The sequence below is a fragment of the Homo sapiens genome, chromosome 16 (genome assembly GCF_000001405.40).
Source record: "Homo sapiens chromosome 16, GRCh38.p14 Primary Assembly".
NCBI classification, from domain to species: domain Eukaryota; kingdom Metazoa; phylum Chordata; class Mammalia; order Primates; family Hominidae; genus Homo; species Homo sapiens.
In genome coordinates this window covers 7,055,631-7,067,634 of record NC_000016.10, presented here as the reverse complement: position 1 = coordinate 7,067,634, position 12,004 = coordinate 7,055,631, and the positions used below count along the sequence as shown (strand labels likewise).

General features: G+C 40.9%; 1 protein-coding gene across 30 annotated transcripts in view; it reads right to left on the bottom strand.

The window, feature by feature from the left end:
- The window catches only part of RBFOX1 (RNA binding fox-1 homolog 1), a 2,473,620-nt gene that overhangs the window by 645,706 nt on the left and 1,815,910 nt on the right, over positions 1 to 12,004 (bottom strand). The window lies entirely within an intron of this gene.

Below are 12,004 nucleotides of genomic sequence, written 5' to 3'. Positions count from 1 at the left end.
TGGGTGCACCACACCAACATGGCACATGTATACATACGTAACTAACCTAAACATTGTGCACATGTACCCTAAAACTTAAAATATAATAAAATAAAAAAAGAAAACAAAAAAAGAAAACAGGGACCTCAGTTCTACAACTACAGGGAATTGGACTCTGACTGCAATCAGAATGATAAAAAAAAAAAAAAGGATTCTCTCCTAGAGCCTCCAAAAGAAACACAGCCTTGGCGACATTTCAGTTTTACTTCAGTGAGATTCTTGTTGAAATTCTGACCTAAAGAACTGCAGAATAGTAAATTTGTGTTCTATAAACCACTATTTTTTTTGTGGTAATTTGTTAGGGCCACAATAAAAAACTAACACAGATTTCAACATGAGTACCAACTCTGAACTAATAATTTCGGCTGCCTGGAAGAACTCTGCTTTAATTAAGTTTTCAAGATCACCCTCTGGGTTTGGTGAAAGGATCACCTGTTCAGTTCTCCGGGCCCATGTCACAAGCATGGAAGGCTGCCGCTGGCATATGAGTTCCCCTTCAGATATGCCTGGTATAGATTCTGTGTGTGTCCCTTCAGCTTAACTTATTATTATTTACTTACAGTAGATGCTCTGTGTGCATAATCTGTTACTGTTTGTTAGGAGCATAAAGAGGCATTTCCATGTGTCTTTGGAATGAAAAATTCTACAGTTTGGTATATAAACTACCACATGAGTAATCTGTTTTTAGAAAATAAATGGTCTGGGTTCAAAATAAGTAAATGGCTAGAAATAGAAGGATTCTGCCACTCACTGGCTGGGAAGACAGAGTTGACATCAAGTGCTCCTCTTATTGAACCAAACCTTTGTGTTTTCTTTCACTTTTCTCCCTGGAAAACCCTGGCATACAAAGAAGAAATGATTTCAACCACCAATCCACTCAGTGACTTCAGTCCTGACTGTGGAAGGACCTTAAATTAGAACACATAGATTTCTATAATTGCTGCTATAGTTTTGGGAAATTGTCTACACTTTTAACAAAAACACCCCCCGCTTTATGAGTCAGGGTCAAGAAGGTAGATGTTAAATAATTTAACTGGTAGCACCTAAAACTTTGCACATAAAATACTCAGCTCATTTGGTAGCTATTTAAATTTCTAACTAACCAGGGGAGGCATTTTCCACCTGTCATAGTTGGATCCTACAAAGGTTGGGCCTCAATGCTAGGTCTAACCCCAAAGTCCAAATCAATAAAGAAAACCATACCCTTCTCGTATCTTAGCCTCACAATGGGACTGATCATTTTAGCTCCTTTCTAAAAAGCAAATGCATTCTTACCTTGAGCTAAGGCAATCTCAATAGACATCAAGGTAACGTACCATGTTTGTCAAAACAAGTGAATATAGACCTGGGTTCAATTCCCAGCTCCACAATTAGCTATGGTTCTAACTCTTAACCTCCCTTTTTCTCTAAGTGTGAATTAAAGAGAATCTCTGGACTAATATGTGCATTGCTTAGCATTTGTTTGTGCCTAATGACTATAGGCTTTAAGATTCTCATGCAAATACTATCAAAACACTCTGAAGTGACTTAGATGTTTGCAAAACTTTTTTCCCCCTTGGAGTGAATTAAACCATTTCAATTGGTAATAGTTTTTTTTTGTTGTTATTTATTTGTTATTCTCTGGGTATAGGGTTTTACACAAGTTACTGTGGGGGAAAAACACATAAGGATCAGGGCCTTACACAGAAAGACATGTACCCCATGAACTCACTTCCATGTAGCGTCTAAAAAAATTAAACTCATAAAAGCAAGAGTAGAATGGTGATTACCAGAGGCTTGGAGGCTGGAGGATTTAGGAGATATTGGTCAAATAATACAAACTTTCACTTAGACAGGAGGAATGAGTTCATCAGATCTACTGTGCAACATGGCGGCTACAGGTAATCACAGCGTATTATATTCCCCAAAACTGCTGAGAGCGTAAATTTTAAGTATTCTTACCCTAAAAAATAAGGTAAGTATGTGAGGTCATGCAATGCTAATTAGTTCAATTTAGCCATTTCACAATGTACACATACTAAAACACCATGCTGTATACAATAAGGATATACCATTTTAATTTGTCAATTTTAGAAAAATGGTATTAAAAAGGGTCAGCGTCTTAGATAGATGGCAGCTTTGCTGCAGAAGCAGGTTCAGAAAAACCCATGCAAAACCATGGAGCATGTGGACAGAGGAACGAGGCAGGGTGCTTGGAGATGATGCTGAACACGAGTGGGCAGGTGGAGTGTATCAGGGGAAAGGTGGCATTCAAGATGAGACGTGCACCTGAAGAAAGCAGATTACACGGCTCCATCAGATCATCCCTAAAAGGACCACACGGGCACCTTCTACCTTCGCTACAAGAAAGCTAGATAGAAGCAAAATTTCTAAGTAAGCTAGGGGCACTAAACCATGAAATATTAGAATGCATTCTTCCAAACACCAGTTGCTTGCTCATTTAGGTAAGGTTACAAATGCGTCTCCATACAGAATTGGTCTCACAGGAGGCTGTAAACTCCAGAGATGAAACCAAGTAACACGCTGTGACTCACATACTCATCTGTTCCTTTCTCCATCCATATCGAACAATAGAGGATTGCTGCGTCCATCTGATTTGTTGTATGTGGTGGTGACACACAGGGAGCCAAGGACATCATCTCTATCCCCCAAGGGAGTCCACTATTTTTTAAGTAAACAAGAAAATGCACATACAGAGGGAGTATCATACCACAGCTAGTTTAAAATTGCATTTCAAAAGGGCAATAGGATTTAGAATATGTAATTAAATCAGAGGTACCAATACACATCAGGATGAACTATCAAGTTCGGGGGGCTTTTTGTTGGTTAGTTGGTTGTTCATTTGCTTTTGATTTTAGTAGCAATGTATTTGATTCTCACGAGGTTTAGATGTGCGTTTGCTAGGGCTACCGTAACAAAGTACCGTGGACCAGGGAAATCAAACAACAGAAATTTACTTCCCCACAGTGCTGGAGGCCAGAAGTCTGCGACTCAGGTGTCAGGGGGGTTGGTTTCTTCTCAGATCATCCTCCTTTGACTGGTAGGTGATCATCTCCCTTTGGGTCATGTAGTTTGCCCTTTGTGCGTGTCTATGTCCTAATCTCCTCTTCTTATAAGAACACCACCCAGCCAGGCATGGTGGCTCACACCTGTAAACCCAACACTTTGGGAGGCTGAGGCAGGCAGCTCACCTGAGGTCAGGGGTTCAAGACCAGCCTGGGCAACATGGTGAAACCCCATCTCTACTAAAAATACAAAAATTAGCTGGGTATGGTGGCGGGTGCCTGTAGGCCCAGCTACTCAGGAGGCTGAGGCAAGACAATTACTTGAACCTGGGAGGCGGAAGTTGCAGTGAGCAGAGATCACGCCACTGCACTCCAGCCTAGGCCACATAGTGAGACTCCACCTCAGAAAAAAAAAAAAAAAAAAAAAAAGAACACCAGTCATACTGGATTAGGGCCCACGCTTATGGACTCATTTTATCTTACTTATCTTTTTAAAGACCTTAGCTTCAAGTACAGTCACATTCTGAGTTACTAGAGGCTAGAACTTCCATGTATGACTTTTGTCAGGACACAACTCAGCCCATATAACATGATAATTTAGTATAGTTGTTCCTCCATATCCATGGACCTTGGTGTCAAGACTTCCTGCGAATACCAAAGTCCATGGATGCTGATATAAAATGAGGTCTCTGATATAAAATGGAGTGATATTTGCATATAACCTATGCACATCCACCCACATACTTTAAAACATCTCTATATTACTTGAATACCTGATGCAATGCGAATGCTATGTAAGCAGTTATTATCCAGAATGTTTAGGGAATGATGACAAAAAGTCTGCACATGTTCCGTGCAGACCCAGGTGTGTGTTGGGTTTTTTTTCCCCCTAAATATATTTGAAGCACAGTTGGTTGAATCTGCAAATATGAAACCTACAGATATGAAGGGCCAATAGCATTCCTAGGATAAGGCTGAGACATCAAAACATTTTACCAGCTAAATTTGAAAAGTACTATTCTCAACTCTCATTCCCACTTGAGAAATGGCTTAAAAATAGTCCCTTGGGTCCATCTCCAGAATCTGATCCAGTAGGTCTGGGGTAGAGCTGAGGAAATGGCACTTGTTATAAACATTCTCAGTGGCCTTTGAAGGGTACTCTGAGAAGGAAGAAGTTGGCAGAGAGACATGTGATGATCCCGTAACATCACAAGTTCCTCTGATACTGATATATCTTTGATACTGATACAGATCCTTTATCTGTGGGCACGGGGGTGGTCCCCTGGGGTTGGGGGGAATATCTTACTCCTACAGGGAAGGACAGAGTTCCAAAGACCCTGAAGCACAGACCTCTCTTCCTGTGCCTACCTGCTCTTGATGACTGAGAACTGACCCAAAAAGATGTACAAATTCAGGTAAGCATCTAGCCCTGCGTGTGCCCTAAACCAAGAGCTCCTTTCTCTTAGCTGTCAATACATAAAGTCAGCGCCGATTCACAGAGGCATCAGGGAGGCATTGCAGGGTATGATGAAGAGTTGGCTTTTAGCAAACCTTTAACCAAACTCTTGGCTCTGCAGTTCTCCAAGTTTAGCACATTTCCCCAGTGTATCAGTAGGGATTCTTCGATCACAGAAAAAAGGAATAGGTCTGACTAACTTCAGCAAAAAAAAAAAAAAAAAAAAAAAAAAAAAAAAAAATGGCGATCATTTGAATGAGATGAGGTAGCTTAAGGGACGGATAGATGGATAACCAGGGTTAAACATAAAGGCAGGAATCAGGGTGAATCTGAGGTCTAGCCCTGGGAACCGTCTCTTCACTCAATTTCACCAGAATATCACTACCGAAATGAATGAACTCCAGGTTTTCAATCATGCTTGTTTTCTTCACCATATTTAGCATTACCCTACTCAATATTCAGAGTCTCAGGAGAAAGAATTCAACTGTCCTGCCTTGGCCATATCCACATCTGTTGGCTAGGGACAGGTGTTGTGATTTATCCTCTCTCCAAGACTGCACACGTGAAAGAGGAAATTTAACCCAAATAGAATAATAAAGTACTAGCTACCATAGGCAGAAATGTCTGTTGGATGCAGACAACAAGGAAGCATATACTGCAGACAACAAGGAAGCACATGCTTGCTGTACCCATGATTCATCCACATACAAGCACAGGGTAAATAAGGTTTAACTATGGCCATGAAGGAAGACAGAAAGCTTTTATATCTCATTACCATTTTTCCTTTTTTCTTTTCTTTTTTTTTTTTTTTTTTTTTGAGATGGAGTCTCACTCTGTCTCTCAGACTGGAGTGCAGTGGCATGATCTCGGCTCACTGCAACCTCATGATCTCGGTTCACGGCATTCTCCTGCCTCAGCCTCCTGAGTAGCTGGAACTGCAGGCACCCGCCACCATGCCCAGCTAATTTTTTGTGTGTTTTTAGTAGAGATGGGGTTTCACCGTGTTAGCCAGGATAGTCTCGATCTCCTGACCTGCTGATCAGCCCACCTCAGCCTCCCAAAGTGCTGGGATTACAGGTGTGAGCCACCACACCCGGCCTCGTTGCCATTTTTCCTGGGACCATCTCAGGTTTGTCTGCATCATCAGGAAAGGAGAGTTTCTTGCTCCTTACTCATTCCCACTGAAACTTGCCCCTTCCTACCCCCAACTGGAGGGAACTAGAGATGCCCTATTTATTTGCTTCCTGCCCTATTTCCCTTGCCTATCACGTATTTTTTTTTCTCCTGAAATGGTATTTAGACCTCAAAGGAACAGAGCAGGAAGACAAGTCCTTGCTGAGGCATCAGTCATAGAAATGAAGAGTAGCTATGACAAATTAAAATGTCAGCATTATTAGCGATTTGCTTGGAGCTGTTTGATACAGATTTAATGATAAAGCAAGAAATGGGAATAGATTTTCCCTGGAAAGGGGCATGAGGACTGGGGATAATAGGCTAAATTAAAGCAAGGGAAAGGGAGAATGAATATTAGGCCAAATATCCTAAATGTGTGAACTTTTTTTTGAGTCTTCTCCAAATAAAGTGTTCAAATGCCTGGGGAGACTCAAAGAATTAATTAACATATATGTGAATTATAAGATTCAGCATCAAAAATGAAGAAAAGTGGACACCTGTACACTTCTTTATTTAATCATATTTCACAATGAAGTTGGAGAAATTAAAATCTGTGACTAGTTGGCTGATTTCTTGATCAGAATCAATCAAGAAGTTGATTTCCTTGCGTTCATCAATTAATGTTCTTGCAAAGACTGGAGAACATACAAGCTCTGTATGGAACAGGTCTTGTGAAGATGACATTTAAAAAACATTTTAAAAAACATTTTAAATGTACTTATGAGTTTCTTATTTTACTAGAGAAGCTGCCCCTGGGGATCATTTGCCTGAGTTCCTGCAGCTTCTAGAAGTAGAGAACTAATTACTTTGGGGCAAACTCCCTTTGCTTGGAGAAAATCACAAAGTTGGGACCATTCGTTATGTAAGATTAAAGCAAGCAAACTTCTGCCAGTTTTTTCCTTGTATGTGTGCACGTGCACGTACACACACACACACACAGGAGAACATACATGAAATCTCATCAACCATGAAGATCTCAGGCCTGAATCCTGAGGGTTCTCTGTAAGTCACCACCTACCTGGGATTTCTGCTAACCCCTGAGCTAATCACTGAAGTCTGGCTTTAGCTGATCATTTGGAAAGTTAATGCAAAGAATGGTATTCATGCTTACAGAGGAATGCTTTTGAGGACAGAACAATCCAGAGAGGGAACTTACCAGACTTTTCTTAAGTGAGGGGAGAATTCTGGAACAGCCGAACAACAATTTGCATAGGACAAGCACCAGGATGTATACGTGGAAATGTCACCCTCCTTGGGGAGTCCCAGAAATTACTTGCTGGGGGATCCAATAAAAAAGGATAAATTTGTTCTTCCATTATAGACAGATGGGGTTCTGAGTCATTAGGGTTGGAACATAAAAATAAGCATAATTTTATTTTGTGTTTCCAGCCCTAATTGTAGCTATTCTGTTCTTTAAAAGCCATTTCATTTGAGAATGGCAGAAGGTATTTAACTGGAAGCCTTTAAAGCAAGAAATCACTTTTAAAGTGATATAGAAATAACTTCAGGCTTTTGTTTTAATGTAAAACATATGAACGTGCATGCATTTATTGATCTTTGATGTGAGTCTAAGGCCTTTTCTTTGAATGATTTCTCTGTTGATAAAAATCCCTCATTAACCTTCCCACATACACCTCACTAACATTTCAGTCACCAGCAGGGGTTGGCTAACTATGGCCCACTGCCTGTTCTTGTAAATAAAGTTTTATTGAGACATAGCCTCAATCATTCATTTTATCTATGGCTGCTTTTGTGCTATTATGGCAGTGTCGAGTGGGGGCAATGGAGACCCTATGGCCTTCAGGTCCTAAAATAGTCACAATCTGGCTTTTTTCAGAAAAAGTTTAAAGTTTGTTAACTCTATGGTATCAATTCTGGGTTTGATTAAAGTGGAATGAGAATGTCAAGACACATTGAAAAGAATCTGACTGCAGAATCTTTCCACATTTCTGAGGGCTTTTTTCCACTAATATTTTACAGTCTTCTCACCCACAGCTAAGCAAAATAATTTTTGAATCGTGTTTTCATACAATGTTTCCAAAGCATTTAGTTTTCATAGAAACAGCTCTTTTTCTTACTGCACTCATTTTTCATCAGTTTACATAATATTCCACTAACTAATGTAATTACAATGAAAAGTGCAGCTGGCAGAAGCAGCCCTGGGAACAAATACAACTGACTCTTGGCAAGCAGACACTGCAACGGGTGAAGAGAAAGGTAAATTTGTACCAAACAGTCACTACATAGGATGCTGTGCACATCTGCCAATATGCTTTATAAAGAGATGGGACAGTATGTATTAATCTGGTACGTTTGATAAGTGAAGGTCAATCAGGTAAGCTTCTTCTATTCATACCCTTTTACACAGCATCTCTTGTTTCTCATATTCATCAGTTTCACATTGAACATTTTTTGCCAATGGTTGTCAATGATTATTTGACAAATGCATGTCTTTTCCACTAGGCTGTGAGGTATAAGAGAATAAGAGTGGTGCAAGTTTTAGTATATTATTATACCTCTACTGCCTAGCACAGTGATTGGCATACGGTTTCTGCTCAAAAAATATTTCTTGAATAAATAACTGAACAGAAGCAGGCATTTCTACAACGAACCATCCTAAAATTATAGTCAGGAAGAACTCATGGATCCTGTGAGGTCTCACCAAGGGGTGGGGAGAAGGGGGGCTTACATTTTCTTCCGTGCTATCGTAAGAGCCACTAAGGAATGAAAAGCTGGGCTTTAAAAAGTGGAGAGGGGTGAGACACAGCGGGAGAAGGTATCTCTGATTCTGATAGCTCAATTGCAAGGCAGTTGGGAAGTTTCATTATCTGATGTCCAGATGAAGGCGATGGGTTTAAGCCAAGAAGATCATTAGCAATTTTCATTATGCAATCCACATCACTCTCATATCTAGCAGAAATGAGAAACTCGCTTGTAACTGGCAAATTAAATATTGATAATGCAGATCTGCTCTACAACCTCTTTCACAAGGCGGGTACCATGATTTCAGTATTTCTAAAAAACTCAGTCATTTGCATTCCAGTATCACAATCTTTGTCATAACTGCGGGCAATATGTAACATTATGAAGTTAATATTTATCTTTAAAGCAACCCATTTTTAACTTAAATAAGTGGAACAATAAATGGAACATAAAATACGATGTGTGCCAAGGAAACTTTGTATTGCCACGGTAAATGAAAAACCAATATCAACAGTCACACATAAAAGTTAATGAAAAAAATCCATTAATATCCAACAATAATTAAGAACCTTTTTTATTCCAGACACTTTTCTAACAACCTCATATGCATTAATTAGTTTAATCTTTTTTTGCATGCAAAAATACAAACACGAAGACACATGCGCATGCACACACACACACACACAAACTTATGAAATCTGTGCAATGATTATCTCCACTATACAGGTGAGGAATTTGACATAGAGAGGATTGAAGTAACATGTACAAGGCTACAAAGTGCTAAGTTGCAAAGTCTAGATTTTATCTCAGTAGGCGTAGCTCCAGGCCCCTGATTCTTAATAGTGTATTTTGCAAACAATGTTTTCAAAGTGCAAAGAGATGCTCTGGGGCTGGAGGCTCTCATCCTGAGGCACACTCCCTTTCCCTTAAAAAAGAAAGCTTAGAAAGTGTTACAGCCCTGCTAAAGATACTTTAGTTTAAACTGAGCATTTCTGATTGGCATAAAAACCACAGAGAGACAATGGAAAGGGGAGTAACTTTCTAAGTGATTCCCCCTTTCTTAATGAGTTAGTGTTCGCCTGAAAGCTGTGAGTAAGACGTGCGGTAGGTGTCCTATATTTTGAGAAATACAGAGCTAGCAGTTGGTGGTAGCACATGTATTTTCCAGGATCCTTTGTTCAGCTGATATCCACATTTTGAAAGCATAGCAGAGATCTATATCTGGTGGTTTTCGTGTTTTTTTTTTTTTTTTCCCCACAGTCTCCCTCTGTCGACCAGACTGGAGTGCAGTGGCATGATCTCTGCTCACTGCAACCTCCACCTCCCGGGGTCAAGCAATTCTCCTGCCTCAGCCTCCGGAGTAGCTGGGACTACAGGCGCCCGCCACCATGCCTGGCTAATTTTTGTATTTTTAGCAGAGACGGGGTTTCACCATGTTGGCTAGGCTAGTCTCCAACTCCTGATCTCAGGTGATCCACCCACCTTGGCCTCCCAAAGTGCTGGGATGACAGGTGTGAGTCACTGCACCCGGCATCTATGGTGTTATTTACTCAGCTAGCAATGGCTCCTTTTCCCCAGTAATGAAGTCTTCCCTCAAGAGTTGGCCCTGGGCAACTGTGTTGCTTCATACCACTTCCCTGGACAGATCCAACTGGCCCAGAGTGAACAACTGATCCAGACTAAGCCAATCAGGCTCCTTTTCCAGGAATTTGTAACGAGGATGCACTGATGGTTAGTCCCTATACCGGTGGAAAGCGATGCAACATACATCTTAGGGGCTAGAAGGTGTGATGTGTGCATAAAGGTAGAGGGAGTCTTTATCAAAAGAAAAATCCAGAGTGGACCCATAAACAGAAACAAAGACAGGAGATGAGCAAGACATACGTTGAGTTCAGGCAGCTTTCCCATTCTAAGCTCTGATTCCTGGGAGGCCTGGTTGCATGCCTTTTCTGCTTAAGATAGCTGGAATCTGTCTCTATTGTTTGCATTCCAAACAACCTTAACTGAGAGGGAGTTATCTCCTAAATACTTCACCATGAAATCAAATACAGAGCCTGCCCTTTATGTTGTCTTTCCTTGTGGGGAGTTTGGTGGCAGTAGATATGTGTTCTCTGTATTCTCATGCCTGGTATTTCTAGGAGGAAGAGAAGTGAAATAATTATTGGGAATAACACTGTATTAACAGTAGCTCACCTTGTTGAGTATCAGGCCTGCATTTTTTTTTTTTTTCAGTGCTTTAACGAAGTTGTTTTATCCAGTCACCAATCCTATGAGAAAGCTATTCTTATTTTACGTATAGGTAAAGTAAAGCTTTGAGACACTAAGGAGCATTTAGAAGTGGGATCTGAACCTAAGTCCATACCAGTGCTTCACCAGCCCTAACCACCCTTCCTAGTATGCTGACTATAGAGTCACATTGCCATATTGCAGATCAGTATTTGAATCCACAGAACAGAATCTGGCAGTCATGCATTTGGCTACCTAGTAGTTTTCTAACTAAGCTCGTTAATCAGCCCCCAAACCAACATCTACCACTCAAGCACAAAGATCCCTTTGTAATCAAATATTTTATGAGTGCTCAGAAAGGTGGGCTTTGGAATCTCCCACCCTATGAACATACAATCTCCCTCAACTGGTAGATAGTTCAGGGAAACAACAGGCCCCCAGGATCATTTTATTTCTCTCTTAGTTGTTTATTTGTCCATCTGTTGGTGCAGATGCTGGAGAGGTAAATGTTGATAATTGGATATGGTCACTGTACGACTATCACCATAACCTGTGCTGATGCTAGAACAAGCTGGTAAATACAGCCTATAGGATCAGGAGTGGTTAATGCACAGATTCCATAGTGAGCTCCTCTGACCATGTCCCCAGAAGAATCCAGCCAATAATGTGAATTGCAAGCTCAGAAGAACACTCAGTCTACTCTAGATTGACAAACCTTGGGACGGAGGAATGAACAAGTTTCCCTGTTGTGTAGTGTGCGTAACAACCGAGCGATGTAAGTAATCCCAATAGTTCTCTGAGAAGAGTGACCCTACTGTTGGGAGTAACTGGCTGATGCCCTTCTTTGGGGAAGGGTAGGGGACAGGAAGCTCATGGACAGCATCTGTGGGCTGAGCTGGTTACTAATGCACGATGCCCCATGCCTGCTGCCCACACCTAATGCTGAGGGGATATGACCAAAGACTATATCCAGTGCAGTCCAAATTACACAAGGCAAAATACAAAGACAATGCCAAGATGGGTAGAAAAGTTAGGATATAGGTTAGGATGGAAGATGTGACCTGTGAGATTCAATGTTGGCAGAGAAATCATCTGTGTCAAATTCCACAAACCAGAATTCACAAAGTTGCTGAGCCCACACATGTAGGATGAAAGAGAGTAATGAAAACTAATGACAGGAAACCAGCACCCTGACAAACAGAGTGGACCCCTGTGAATTCCTTTTGTAGCAGACTCCATTGGGTAACAACACTGGAGTGCATTTTCTGCTTCCTCCAGTTTAAGTAAATCCTACTTTTGTGCAGGTAACAATGTGCCTGATGCTGCAAATGAATCATAACTGCTGTAGCCAATCGCTGAGATTCCAGTTCACCTTGCCAGTGATTGATGTAGAGATTGGCCA